This window comes from Homo sapiens, chromosome 11, assembly GCF_000001405.40.
Source record: "Homo sapiens chromosome 11, GRCh38.p14 Primary Assembly".
In the NCBI taxonomy this organism is placed as follows: Eukaryota; Metazoa; Chordata; class Mammalia; order Primates; family Hominidae; genus Homo; species Homo sapiens.
The window spans coordinates 102,942,656-102,958,225 of NC_000011.10; the positions used below are offsets into that span (position 1 = coordinate 102,942,656).

Sequence of the window (15,570 nt, forward strand, 5' to 3'; positions counted from 1 at the left end):
TCCCAGGACTTTGGGAAGCTGAGGCAGGCAGATCACCTGAGATCAGGAATTCAAGACTACCTGGCCAATATGGTGAAACCCCATCTCTATTAAAAATACAAAAACTAGCCGGGCATGGTGGCGCTCACCTGTAATCCCAGCTACTTGGGAGGCTGAGGCAGGAGAATTGCCTGAACTCGGGAAGTGGAGGTTGCAGTGAGCTGGAATCACACCACTGCATTCAAGCCTGGGCAACTGAGAGAGACTCTGTCTCCAAAAATAAAAATATTGGCAATGAACCCTCTTTGGGTGAGGAAAGATTGAAATTATACCTAAAGACAATGTACCATATAGCAATTGTCTGTTGAAAATATATTTTTATTATAAACAACATAAACACTTCCTAATACACTTTGCAAATATGCATTTCATTTTCTTTGCCTGAGTTTTTATCAACAGTGTCTCTGAGCACAATAGTTCTTCCCTTGATGGCCGATCATATATTCAATAAGTGCCAAGCACCCTCCCCAAGTATCAATAGGCACTGTGGGAAGTGCTGGGGGATTTTTTTAAATGCAGAGAAAAAAAGGCATCCTTCCATATCTCAAGGGATCACAATCTAGTAGACTGCTTTAAAAAAAAATTTGGATGTCTCTTTTTTAATATACATACTTCCACTTTATAAGATATATTTTATTTCATGCTATACAAGTCTTTAGAAAATAGCCTATATATCCAAGACAAACTGGACAATTAAATAATTAGCTAGGTAAAATAGGGTTAAAATGCAACTTTTAGTCTTAAATAATCAAATAATTTATGAAAAAGGGATGCCATGGCCTTAGACTATTTTGATAACAATTTTAACTTTGTAATGTGTGACTTCTGAAGAACCTGAAATATTTTAATAAAAAGACATCATCCTTCTTTATCCTTTATAATATGCAAAGGAATATTTGTCTTATATGAGAGCAGACTTTGAGTCATTGCCAAAAGTGAAAATTAAACAGAATTCAAAGGCCACATCTACTATTCTTACCACTGCTCTTTTGTCTCCTGTCTTTAATGACTTTGATATTTCGTTAGTGTCTGTGTGAAGAAGGGCACATACATCTGAATATCCTCAGTGCAAAATGAAAATTATTTATTTGGAAGTTACAGTCTATTATTACAGACATTTTCCTTTGGTTTATTTCTTTTATGTATGGCTCTCCCAAATTTCCATTTTCATACTATTTTATACTTTTTAGTAAGAATGATTTATTCATTATATGCATGTATTTACTTTATGCCCTTGTAAAATTTCCTTATAAATATATTTTTAAATTATGCTCTCATTGACAGACCATGTGTCCCATTTGTGGTGTGGGAAGTATCATCAACCATTGCTTTTGTACAGCAACAAGAATCAGATGCTCTTTAGAGATCCTCCATTTCATTACTCTAACATTCTTCAATGTGGTTCCAGCCACGCATAGTCATATAGATACTACATATTCAAAGATAACTTACTGAAGCTTGTTCACAGAACCAAGCTTTCTCCTGATAGCTCTTCTTCCCCTACCCCGCACTTCTGGAAGTATTACCCCAAATGCTCTTCAGGATTTAAATAACAATTTTTAAAAAGACACTTAACACCACAAAATGGAATTTGCTGGCATGACGCGAACAATACGGTTACTCCAGATGCTGTATTCAAACTGTATGGGTCCGTTGAAAAAATAGATATAACCTATAAGAAAAAGCATAAAGACAATTTCAGAGTTTGAAAATAATAAGGTTTTAATCCAGTTAATATTAATGGTTCAATCTCTTAGATCCCATTTGTAGGAATTTCAAACTTTTTCTTTTTAAACTCTATTAGTTCTTTAATAGTTGTTCCTTTTTAAATTTTTTATTTTTTTATTTTTATTTTTTAGTTGTTCTTTTAAGGTGTGAATCCTCCTACACAGTTTTGCTACTTGGATTATCGATTTTTGTGTGCGTATATGAGACAGAGTCTCACTCTGTCATCCAGGCTAGAGTGCAGTGGCAGTGATCTTGGCTCACTGCAACCTCTGACTCCTAAGTTCAAGTGATTCTCCTGCCTCAGCCTCCTGACTAGCTGGGATTACAGGTGCATGCCACCACTCCCAGCTTTTTTTTTTTTTTTTTTTTTGGATTTTTAGTAGAGATGGGGTTTCGCCATGTTGGTCAGGCTGGTCTTGAACTCCTGACCTCAAGTGATCCGCCCACCTCAGCTTCCCAAAGTGCTCAGATTGCAGGCATGAGCCACCGCACCCAGCCTATTTGTTATAAGTTATCAATAATATCTCTTTTCATAGTTAAAGGAGGTCGGTGAGGTCAGGCCTGTAATCTGAGCACTTTGGGAGGCCGAGGCGGGTGAATCGCTTGAGGCCAGGAGTTCAAGACCAGCCTAGCCAACATGGCGAAACTCCATCTCTACTAAAAATGCAAAAATCAGCCAGGCATGGTGGCAGGCACCTGTAATCCCAGCTACTCCAGAGGCTGAGGCAGGAGAATCTCTTGAACCCAGGAGGCGGAGGTTGCAGCGAGCTCAGATTGCGACAATGAACTCCAGCCTGGGTGACAGAGTGAGACTCTGTCAAAAAAAAAAAAAAAGGTTGAGAACATAATTAAAGTAAAAAGTCACTATATAGTTAAGGTAGTTATGAGTCTTTATATATAAATTACTTCCCACTCCACAGCCAGTTTGAATTCTGGCAATATCCTTGCATTTTGGCATCTTTAAGCATAGATTAAGGTAATGTTGAAGGTTTAGCATCTCGTATTTATAGAATTAGCAATCATTAAGTAAAATTCTTATTTATTCTAACCATGTTTTTTTTGGTTTGCTGTCTTTGTAGGTAGTCACACAGGAACAATTAATTCCTTAACTGCCATACATTTATTAACACATCTAGGTCCTATATAAAAATGCTTTGTACAGAAAAGAGTTTTGAGGGGCTACAGAAGCTCCTCTTTAAAGTCAGTGCAATGTAACTACTTACCATTTTTCTCATAGACAGCATCTACTTTATCACCAATTCCTGGGAAGTCTTCTTCTATTAGTCTCGGATAGTCTTTATCCATAATATGGTTAGTATCATCATATCTATTTAAAGAAAAAAAACTCCTAAGTCAGTTATATTTCTTAGAAAGTACCTTAGAAATAATACAATAGATACAATGGCATCTTTCAAAATTGACAAGAATTTTAAAATTTTCAGTCCATTTAAAGCATCTGGTAGCTTTTTAAAATTAGGAATGAGAATACTGAGTGTACAGTGGATGCTTGACGAGTATTTGTTGACTTGCCCAAAGGCCATCTTTTTAAAGAGAGTTACAAGCTCATTTCCATTTCACAAATGATATATCTGTTATAAAAGTATGTCATTAGGAACATGTTCTTAAGCATGAAATAAATGCATGTTTGTGCATAGAACAATTAGCTGTTGATCTCTCACTATGTGTAAGACAACTTGCACTTACTTGCACTTACTTAGTGTACAGTAATGGCTACAAAAATATTTAAGGTTTAATTTCTGTACTAAAAAGTTGTAGGGGCATATGGTAATACTAAAGGTAGGAAGGGAAGCATAGCTTTCCCCCTCCATAACTGCATATTTCAAGCTCCTTCTCCCCTGCCCACAGCCACACCCTAACCAGGCAAACATATCCTAAAATTAACCTAGGAAAACAGGCTCCCATAAGGTGCCACTACTGTTACTGATGAGAGCTTTTTGAATATCTTGGAGGTATGTTCCAACAAGTAAAAGATAAGAACCACTAAACTACCAATAAAGCTAAGGCATGTGTATACACATAACTGCAACGCCAGGCAATAGAAGTCAAGCATGAGAGAGTAATCATGAAATGTCATGGGAGTACAGGAAGCCGGGCAATAACCCCTGAATGGGGAAATCAAAAGAGGCTTTGTAGATGAAAAGATATTTCGAATGAACTTTAAACAATGGATAGAATTTCAAGAGGGAGAGATGCAGGGAAGGATCTTCTGGCAAAAAAAAATTGCCTAAGAGAAGCTTAAGGGGATATAAAAAACAGCATATCTGAGATGCAGTAAGCAATTAATCCTGACTGAACAATATACTTCTTATGGAGGTAGGGAATGAAATGCGGTACCTGGTAGAAGCTGGCAGTGATTTCTAGAATGTTGTAAATGTCATTGTCAGAAATAAGTCAAAAGGCAAAGATGATATATACAGGTATGTGCGTGTGTGCGGGTATGCATGTGTGTGTGTGAGACTGTGTGTATGTAGAGATGGAGGAAAGTTTCCACTTTAAACATTTAGAATGTAGGGTACTGATGAGATATTCCCATTCCCAAATATAGACTTGAATCTGGACTCTTAAATGTTGTTGATGTCAATGCTGCCTAAATCTTTACATGTGTTTTAAACATTCCAGCTTCACTCGCCCTTCAGAAAGTTTCACTTTATAAACTATGGGCCTGTCAGCTTCCTGGTCAACCTCTCCAGTGGATCAGCTAACTCTGCAGATAGGAGGGCCTTCTCTAAACCAATCTTTTCCTGTACTCATGCTGGTATCCTCTTTGGCCACGGAAGATGGAGCTACATGTAAATTAGGAGAAAGTGACAAGAAAGAGAATACAGGAGAAAGATTAGAAAGAGAAGGTGCCAATTGGGTGTGGTGGCTCACGACTGTAATTCCACCATTTTGGGAGGCTGAGGCAGGTGGATTGCTGGAAGCCAGGAGCCTGACCAGTGTGGCAAAACCCCGTCTCTACTAAAAATACAAAAATTAGTTGGGTGTAGTGGCACATGCCTGTAATCCCAGCTTCTTGGGAGACTGAGACACAAGACATGAGAATTGCTTCAATACAGGAGGCAGAGGTTACAGTGAGCCAAGATCATGCCACTACACTCAAGCCTGGATAACAGAGCAAGACTCAGTCTCAAAAAAAAAGAAAGAAAGAGGGGGTGCCAAAGATGGTTGAGAGGCACAACAAATGGCTAAGAAAAGAATGTTTGAGAAGAGGAATGTTTGAGTATTGTGTGTGTGTGTGTGTGTGTGTGTGTGTGTGTGTGTGTTCAAGAGAGCTTGAGACTTTTAAATACATGTCTGAGGGTCTGCCTGAAAGAGCTGACATGGAATGAAAATGAATGACTAGTATGACATTTACAATAGTGTGTAGGAATAATGTATAGTAGTGACAGATGTTTGAGGCACTTTGCGGCTATGACACAGATGGGTCAGTACCTACTGCTGCCATACCTCCAGACCTGGTTTCCTGAGAACAGGAGAGTCTTGCCTGTATCCTCAAAGTGAACAGCTGCACTTATCTTCTTAACTTCTTTTGGAAGACCCAGTTCAGATATTTTTTTGGGATAACCTTCCAGAATGTCATAACCATTAAGAGCCCAAAATTTTCTACCTGGAATGAGTGAAATAACAGTTCTATTATCCAAGGGAATCTATTAGGACTTACATATATAGACATGTGCTTAAAGACAGGCCCACTTTTACATTGAGAAATATTAATAAAATATTTAGTATTTACAGTCATCATGTTTATGAAACATAAAAATATAAGCATTCTTGAAACAAAAAAATAAAATTTAGGATCTTAACTTCCCAATTATGAATATAGCTAATCAAATATCACAGTTAACTTGGCAATTTATTAGCTCTGAATATTAAGTTTAAAGCTAGGTGGAAAAAATACATTAAAATTTGTACATGAACAAACAACACAGTAGGAAGAGTAAATTAGACTGAAAACTCAAACGTTACACCAGTTTGAAAGTTATTTTATTCTCTAAAAAGTAGCTTTATTATAACATTAATATTATAAATAGTTGAACAATACAAACAGTGTCAGCAGGAAGTTATGTAATCATTTTAAATTATGGTCATAAAGATAAAGTAGCAATTTGGAAATTGGTCATAATTTTATGTCAAGGAAAGCAGTAGAATATAAAAATGTATCTATACTATGAAAATAAATATGTAAAAATTTGTATTACATAATGAAAATGAGCAAATGAAATAAACTGAGTTTTCAGAAGGAAGAATGATTCATAATATTTTTTCCACTTTTTCAGAATATATTGGTATAATGTTTTCTCAATAAACAATTTTTAAGCAGAACTAAGAGAAAAAACTGACATGATTCATATGAAAGAAAGAGTGGATATGACAAGACTAATAATGTAGACCTTTTATATGTTCAATTTGGAGATTCATGGTAGAATGGTTTCAGGTACTTTCTGGCTTCCATTTTTTTAATACTTGGTCTTTAATTTAGGTATATTTTCAGTAGTGATCATTTTACTGAATCTCTAGTGGCATCAAATTCAGCACTGCCTCCCCTGGTCTTGTGTGAGGACTCCTCTGTGGAAAGCTTACCTCTGAAGATGAAGATGAGGTCATGAGAAGGGTGCTCATATGCAGCATCAATACGGTTGGGAAGTTCTGGCCAAAATGATTTCGTTAAAAACAGCTCCGCATCAACCTGCTGAGGATGCAGGCGCCAGAAGAATCTAACACAAAAGTAAAATGGAGTTTTCTGTCACATTTTTAAATGCAATATTTCTATCCTGCTAGTCACCTCTCTCCACATCAACACAGACAAGTTAGATACAACCAATACCTCCCACCTGTGAAGGGAAAAAAAATTCCATTACCCTTTAAGCGCCAGTGACAAGTTGTGCTATCCTAACTAGCGTAAGGTATTCAACTTTGAAATCTCACAGAGCCTGTGTGAGGTCTCTGAGTTCTTTGCAGGTTGAAACAGTCTTGCTCAATTTTGGGTATCTTGCCAGGGGCAAGCAAATGTGCCAGGCATTGTGTTGGCCTCCAGAGAGAAGATATGAGTTATATGAACTATGTCTTCCATGGTCTCATGGCCTGGGAAAACATACATGAGAAACACCCCCCGCCCCACGAGTACAATGTAATTAGAGTTATAACAGAGGGGATAAACATGCTATTGGATCACAGATGAGGGATCAATGAATGAATGAATAAACAAGCATACTGGAACAGTGTAGAAATTAAAATTTTATATTGCATTTCTGGGTTCATTTCATTTCATCCCTCAAATTCCAACATGTATCTAGAATCAAAGTCTTTCCATACCAAAACGAATCCGTGTGGGCCTAACGAGTAACCATTTATTAATACAGCAGTTACTTTCAATGCTTGTCTGTTTTTAAAACAAATGGGATTTCTAGATTTTCTTGGTTATATTTATAAGAAAGACTGTAACTAGAGATGTAAAAGGAAGCTACACAATGTCAAGGTTATACGTTGAAAAGTAAAACATTTATCCATCAGTCATTTATTTGATCTGAAATATGTAAATAAACTGCCTGCCCATTTTTACTGCTAACTTCGCCTTTGGAAGTCTGACAGGATGTTTTGGCAATATGCAGAAGCAGCTTCACAGATGTTTGTCGCATACAGACTTTATGAAAGAATCTCAAGAGTACCTGTCTTTAAAGATCATTGTTTCTCCTCGGAGACTGGTAATGGCATCAAGGGATAAGGAAGGGTCACATTTGTCTGGCGTTTTTGGATGTTTAGGGTTGGGGTCTTCATCTCCTGGACCTGTAGTCGTGAAAGGCAAGAGAGAAGTTATGAGTGTGACATTACTGATAACCTGAGTCACAGTACAACAGGCTGATCTGCTGATGGACAGTGGGAGAGGGTTTCTCCAGGAAAAGCTGTAGGTCCTGGGGCTCCTACATCATGGTGCAAGTACCGTGTAATCTTACTTCCTTCCTCCCCTCCACTTCCATCCTTCAAGACCTCTCGAGATTCTTTAGAAGTATAAACTTAGGTTTCTTGAGGTTGATGATAAAAAGGAGGGAAAAAAGCAACAGAATTTGAGAAATTTTCCCTACACCTTGCACAATCTATTGACAGATTGCTCTTGAAAACTAGATTCCCCTTAAAGCCATTTTTGATGGCGTATTTTTCCTGCAAAAGCCCTCATCTTGCCTCCTCCTCTTGACTATTTTACCAGCTGTCAACATCAGCTAATGTTGCTTCACCAGTTTGCCATGGTGCAGCTGTATCTCAGCTGTGACAAACCAGGCCTTCAGCACTTATGTGACTTGCGACATGTTGGTAAATTTCCAACCGTCTCCCATGAGTGCAGACAGGATGGGGGTGCAGTATATAATAATAATAATCCTACACTGTTTTTCTTTCTGTCTAGTTTTTATTAGTTCTTTCATCAGTCCCTGAGTCATAACAATGTAGAAATAATAATTGCAAAATAAATTTGCAAATTCCCTTTGCCATCTTCAAGTTCATGCCCATGGCTATGCTAGCTACTGTGATAGATTGAAATCTAGAGGGTAAAAGAATGGGTTGGATGCTATGAGCAAGTTTTCTGAGCTATGTGCTCTAGAAGTGTTTACACTGATGACTGTGTACTGTGGCTTTAACTCTATAACAGGTCATCTATAAATAAATACTTGGGTTGAAGTTTAATAATTTTGTAAATATTATTGAAAACTTGGGGGGGGAAGTGAAAAGGAAGAATTTTTTTTTTACAATGGTTACTGTAGATGTTGATTAAAAACTACCACAGGCCACTTGAGAGGTTTCTACTGTGCCAGATTGGACTGGTTGAAAGAGTACTTGGAATTTCTAAAAGCCTTAGGATCTCACTTTCACCACCAACCTTGTTACTATAGGTATGCTACTTAAACTCTACAGGGCTTTGTTTCTTCATTGGTTAAATGGGGAACAAAATATTTTTCTTTCTTATTGCAGAGGTGTTTGGAGGATATCAAATGCACATTGCAATGTATAAAGTACAAATACGAGGAGTTATAGTCTGCAAAAATTTGGAGAATGAAATCTTTTCTATTTGAGTGGGTAGTTAGATTTGGAAAGAAAAAATGGGTATGTTTTCCTAGGTTTTAACAACAAAACCAAGAAAGCAGCATTGGCAGTGGTGAATTCAATTAGTAGAGTCATGTGTTGCTTAACAACAGGGATACATTCTGAAAAATGTGTTGTTAGGAGATTTTGTCATTGGGTGAATATTGTAGCGTGTACTTACACAAACCTAGATATATAACCTACTACAGATATAGGCTATATGGAACAGCCCATGTCTCCTAGGCTAGAAACCTGTCCAGCATATTACTGTTCTGAGTACTGCAGGCACATGTAACACAATGGTGAGTATTAAGTGTATCTAAATATAAGAAAGGTACATTAAAAATACTGTATTACAGTATTATGAAACCTTTGTCATGCATGCGCTTCACTGTACCAAAACATTATTATGCAGCATGACTGCAATTTAGAAAATAAATGCATGGGTTTCTTCTGCTTTTATAACTGATCATATTCTATTTCTATAACCGAGTTACCATAGAGAGACTGGATCCCTTGTACATCGTCATCAGGAAGCATAAAGTGGCTTTTGCCGGTGTAGGTGTAGATAGGAAACATGAGTGCTCCAGGGTCCTTGGAGTGGTCAAGACCTAAGGAGTGGCCGAACTCATGCGCAGCAACAAGAAACAAGTTGTAGCCTGTAAGAAAACAAAGAAACAATGAGAAAAAAAGGAATTCCAGTGACCAGGTAATGAAAGGAATATCATTTTATCTATCTGGTATGTTTCTTTCTTGGCTATATACTTTCTTTTCTCTTTCTTCAGTCTCCTACTTTTTAAAATCAATATTCAGTTGCTTGAAGGAAGATTCAAAGTATTGATTTAATCCTTATAAATAATTTAGTGTTCTTTTGATTATAGCTGCCTACACAATTAGAATGTCAACAGATTACTCTCATGTAATTAGTAATTAATAAGGATTTACTGTGAATACATTAGAACTCCTGATTTGCGCTTAGTATTCTCAGGTCAGGTGAGGGAAGTGGACAGAGATTACCTTAAACGAGGAGTGGGGAAATCACATAGGGTGGTACCTAGCTAGGGTGCTGCCCAGAACATCCTCCAATCAGGAGGCAGCATCCAAAGGGATGGTACCAAGGATGGAGGATGCACTAAATAGGTTCTCTGTGTTTACTCTTGGGAGCAAATTCCAACCAAATGATTTTTTCCAGAATGTCTCTAGACTCTGGGTTCTGGAGAAACAGAAACTCTAGACATGATTAGCCATCTTTTCTCTACTCTAGAAGACTACTATGTCACTGTATTTACATTGTTCCCTCTAAGCATTCTGTCTGCCAATTTTGAGCCTCCTAATGCAGGTATTTCAAACTGGAAAAAAGAAAATAAAAAACTAAAAGAAAAATAAGAAGTGCAAGGCAATAGGATTGTTGTTACCTGTGCTTAGATTACCTGAAAACTAGAGCCAGTGGATTCCATTTGACCTTAAATACCCTCTGCTATTGTAGCCTGTGCATGAAGAAAATGAACCATCCTAGCAAACCTTGCAGACCATGAGAGCAATTAGAGGTCACATAATCTGAGTGTTAACTAATTCTTCACTGAATGACTAGTAATGGATACCCCTCTTGGCCTTCCACTGAAAAATGAATCCAGACTTGTTTGTGGATGTTTTTATTCACTTCAATTAAATATTTCAAACCCAGAATTTATAAAGGAACCTAAATTTGAGGCTTACTGTGATTCTACCTTAACAATGCTGGATATTATTTCTTCTTCCTGAAACCATTCTTACCTGTGAAATACCCAGAACATAAATATGTAAATTTTCACTTTTCCCTCCATAGACAGATTGGAGGTATTAGATTTGAGACACTGATCATGTAAGGCCCAGTTTTATTCTTTGGAGAAATAATCTTTTTTATTTAAATGAAAAATAAAACTCAGCTGTCTATGAAGACAACATCTACTTGTCATAACTAAGTCCTAGTTAGAACAATCTATGGCTTTTCTTCCTAAGTTAACATTCCCAATTATTTTGAGACTTGAAGATTTAACTACTAACTGATCTCATTCAACATTCAGTTTCATTTTGCTCTTGTAAATACAACCATCATCTTGTCTGTTTCATGCTGTTTGGAGTAAGAGTCTGTCTAGGTTTTTAAGAATAGTGTTTACAATATATAGACAAGACTGAATCAAGCAACTCATATAATGGGAAACAGAAATTTGATTGAACATATTTCTACCAAGCAAAAAACTATTTCAATTCACATCTAATTCATGTATGACCCATAGATCCAGCCCTGGTAGTTTTTAGTTAGATATTTCTAATAAACTGTACTTCCTCAACATGCCAAAAGGTAATTTGCAGTAATAACATGTTGGCTGACAGACATAAACATTTTGGTCCTACTTCAAAGTTCATTAGTATCCCTCAAGCCACAGTGACAGATTAAGTAGATTTTGTTCATTTTTTAATGTTGATATCAATTTGTAGAAATGTCACTTGTAGAGACACTAATACATCTAAGATAAACTTTATTTAAGAAAATATAGTCAAATACCAAATATATTTAACTTTTATGTGTTTTAACTTCATACTAGTGTGTTCACTGTCTAATCTAATAACACATAAATGATATCTTTATAAGAAACATTACCTTTGGAACTACTTGTCCAGGTTTCATCATCATCAAAATGGGCATCTCCTCCATAATTTGGCCCAGGAGGAAAAGCATGAGCCAGCAGGCCAGAGGGCCCATCAAATGGGTAGAAGTCGCCATGCTCTACACACAAAAGCAAGGGTTAGGAGTCTTATCACATCCAGGAGTACTTAGCACAGGTGTTTGGTAAATTAGTGTTGAATTCTTTAAAAAGTAATGAATGACTGAAATAAATAATTTTAAAATGGAACCAAGAATTAGAATATAAAAATGTTTGTAAAATAAATGTGCATCATTACCCTTAATTCCAAAAGAGATCATGATGTCAGCAATGCCATCGTGAAGTCTGGTAAAATTCAGAGGAGTTACATCGGACCAAACTTTGAAGGCTTTTTTGAATGCCTTTTCGACTTCAGAATGAGTCATATCAGGGGTGTAATTCACAATTCTATTTAACAGAGAAAGTTTCAATGAACTTTTTGGAAAGTGACAGCTATTTTAGAATACATTTTCTTGGTATATTGCTTTTCAATTCAAAATGCAATAATTTCTTTGAAAGTTCTACTAGAGGTTTATTGTTTCAAATAATGTATTAATTATGATGCCATACAAGAATAAAAAGTCAAAAATTCAGCCACATTTGAGTATCTCCAAATATCTGACCATGTGGCATCTTAAATTTAAAATATTCCAATGTTTAATATAATTTATTTTGCATGCTAAAAGTTTAGATTACATTGATAAAGCTCAAATAAATGAAATAGCTCTGTAAAGTTTCTAGAAAGAGTGGAACTCTTCATCTTGAGCACTGTTGTAATAAATACACCTAATGTACTATGTTTGCAAATTTTCTTTAACCTACTTTTATTTCTCTTTTGATTTCATCTCTAAAAGAAATACTTTGAGATGCCCACTAAAAAATAATGCTGAGTTAATGTAACAATAATAGATGTTATGAGGTATTCTCGGCAACCATATTAAAGCTATTCTGGAATTTAACTGCCAATTAAATAATAAGGCCTACTTAATATTAGACATTTAATACTACAAGAAAAGGCTAACAAATATGAAAGAAAGATAGCCTATGATTTACCTGTAGGTTAAATTCATTTTGGACCATTTAAGAGTTCGAGGGAAAACATTGTATTCACCCACATCAGGAACCCCGCATCTTGGCTTTTTCATGACATCTAAGGTGTTATCGTCAAGTTTGCCAGTCACCTCTAAGCCGAAGAAAGACTGCATTTCTCGGAGCCTCTCAGTCATGGAGCTTGCTGCATTCTCCTTCAGGATTCCCGCGAGATTTGTAGGATGGTAGTATGATCTCAGGTAGCGCTAGAAAAGACACCAAAATGAACTGCGTTTAAAAGAGAAGGACATTTCTGAGATGTACCAACCGCATCATCAGGATTGGCAAGATACTCTACCTCTGCAAACTGGAGGTCTTCCTCAGACAAATCATCTTCATCACCACCACTGGGAAGGGGCAGGGCCCGACAATGAGTCCAGCTCAAGAAGAGGAAGGCAGCCAGGACCCCTGGATGCATCTTGAATGGTGATGCCTGGGGACTGTTGTCTTTCCGCAGAGATTACCTTTACTTTTATAGGCCTGCAATGGTGAGTCATCACTTATGGATAGGTTTCCACTTCCCAGTCACTTGAAGGTAAACATGCTTACGTGGCGACTTTTTCTTTTCCCTCCCGAGTGTGGTTTGTGGTAGAATTTGAGGGAAATATAAATGAGAGCATCTCTTGTTTCAGCAGGGTCTCAAAACCCATCTGGCAAAATAAACGGCCTCAGCATATTTATGGATACTGTGGGAAGAAGCAGAGAGTAGTACATTTTTTACTTCACTTAGCAAAATTTTTTTTTTTTTGCCTTCTGTAAGAACGTATCTACTTTTGCTTCTTCGAATAATAAGTGTATCAAGATGGCATGTTTACTTCCATAAAGAGAAACTTAGTACTGATTCTAGAATGTTTACTACTGCCTGGTAAATTATAAACTGCATTTTCTCTAGAATAACTACAGAGAGATGTCTTGTGTCTACCTGAAGTTCACGATATTGGACCAAAACCAAGCTTGATGACTTGGAGGTGCTACGGCACAACCGCAGGATTGAGCCCCATGGTTGGAATTTAAACACACTGGCATGACCTCTCGACAAATATGGAGTCCTGCATAAATTCCCTACAGATTCAGACAGAGGTAGAAGAATTACATTGGAACGGAACAACTGTAATGGCTAGCACAAACAGGGATTACTGCATTCTAGGTTTAAAAGGCATTATCTCATTTAATCCTTACAACAGCCACATAGGTGCTGTCAGAAAGCTTGTTTTCCATTTTACATATGAATAATCTGATACACTGAGAAGTTAAATACTTGTATACGGTCATATAGTTTATAAATGATACCAGGATTTGAACCTAGGCCAATAACTCAAAACTCAATGTTCTTGACCACCGTCCCTGTCTAATTATGACCTCCACCCTTTCCATTCTCAGATATTTTCTTAAAAGCTGAGCTGTTTGGTTCCTACACCTCAGGGAGTGCCCAAGAAAACTAGGGCTGCAGTAGGCCAATTTCAAGTTTCTCAATTTTTAAGTTTGAATAATAGAAGTAATCTTGGTCCAACCATCAGGAAAATAGTCCTAGGGGCCTCTACCCTATTATTCCTTTCAGAACATCACACATTCAGTACCGTGAAATCAAAGTGCCATCTTTGGTCCCCTGCAGAAGTAAATGGGTAGAGCAATATAGGCCATGATCTTTGGATTTATTGGACTTCTTTAAATAAATGATTGGAAATGCAGGTTAATTTGAGTGACTAAGAGTCAGAAAGAAAATGCTGCTCAGGTCAGGAACATAGTAAGACAAAGAGAAGGAGCATGAATACAGCTTTAGGGTGAGTACGAAATGGGTATCCTAACATATGAGTAAAATCCTATAATCTAGAGTAGCCAGTGCCTTAGAGAAAAATCAGAAAAGCCTACAACATGTATGTGATCATTTGAGGGAAATTTACTATATGCCTTTATCCAAACAAAATACAGCCAAATATACCCTTTCAAATAGATTGTTTCCAGTGAGTTCAAGATTAGATTGGTGCTCAATCAGGAATGCAAAGCAATAATTTATTTTAAGTTGCTTCCATGTATCATAATATTTAATTTTGAGATTAAGTGAAAAATTATCCAAAAAAGTTTGATTCATCGACTAAGCTTATAAAAGTTAGTTTATTAGAAAGCATTTGTTTTTACAAATAAATTTTCATAATATATTAAAATCTCATTAGATAAGAAGTGCTTAAGAAGCTGGAAAACAAATAACATTTTATTAAACATTTGAAAGTGGAGAAAAAGAATCAAATAGGCTAACTGTTCTTATAGATTTTCACATATTTGTAGAAATGTTACTACTTCAAACTAGAAGAAAAGAAGCTTTTTTATCTATCAATTTAATGAATATATTAATTGAGCATCAACCATATAGGATACCATGCTAGTGTCTATGGAAATGAAATGAAGGCTAAAATGAGGGCCTTTTTCTGAGGATCATTACAATATTACCTCCCCCATTAAAAAAAACATTTTTAATAACAAATGAAAATAAATACATGCCACTATTTTTCAACTTTAAAAATAAAGTTTATTATCAAACAACTTTAGTATTTTACTAGTTTCTCATTCCATTTAAGAACATAATCAGCGCAAAAGAAAAAACACAGAAAGGTTAATGAGAACATATTATTATATGTTCTGTAGTTTTCTTAAGTAGAAATAAATAAAAATTCCTCCAAAGATTAAAATACATTAATTCATTAAGAAAATAATCAGACTGCTCGTTTATAGAATATTGTTCAGGGAAAAGTGTTTTTAGATGGTGATAGGGATGTGTCATCACATCATAATGTGTTGGCAAACTGCTTGTCAACGCAAGTCCTTATATCAGGTTGTTAACTGTTAAAGTCAAGCCTTCTGGTTACCACTGTGAAATGATTTGTGGTTTCAGATGTCATCTTTAACACAATAGGGCTGAGCTGGTATTTAAAAATGGTTCTAA

At 36.3% G+C, this 15,570-nt stretch overlaps 1 protein-coding gene across 1 annotated transcript, besides 1 other annotated feature; it reads right to left on the reverse strand.

Moving 5' to 3' along the window:
* On the reverse strand, positions 340-13,077 carry MMP13 (matrix metallopeptidase 13). Its single transcript, NM_002427.4, has 10 exons — positions 12,931-13,077; positions 12,597-12,838; positions 11,803-11,951; positions 11,501-11,626; positions 9,357-9,518; positions 7,455-7,572; positions 6,370-6,503; positions 5,236-5,395; positions 2,991-3,094; positions 340-1,711 (listed from the first exon to the last, which is right to left on the reverse strand). Exons 1-10 carry the CDS (start codon positions 13,048-13,050, stop codon positions 1,611-1,613), a joined length of 1,416 nt encoding a protein of 471 aa, NP_002418.1. The 5' UTR covers positions 13,051-13,077; the 3' UTR covers positions 340-1,610.
* Positions 12,510-13,709: an enhancer, noted in NCBI's record as "BRD4-independent group 4 enhancer chr11:102825894-102827093 (GRCh37/hg19 assembly coordinates)". NCBI's record gives its function as "activates an origin of replication core promoter dependent on BRD2, P300/CBP, MED14 and CDK7 cofactors, and independent of BRD4, by STARR-seq in HCT116 cells {active_cell/tissue: HCT116}" and the evidence as "EXISTENCE:reporter gene assay evidence [ECO:0000049][PMID:35650434]".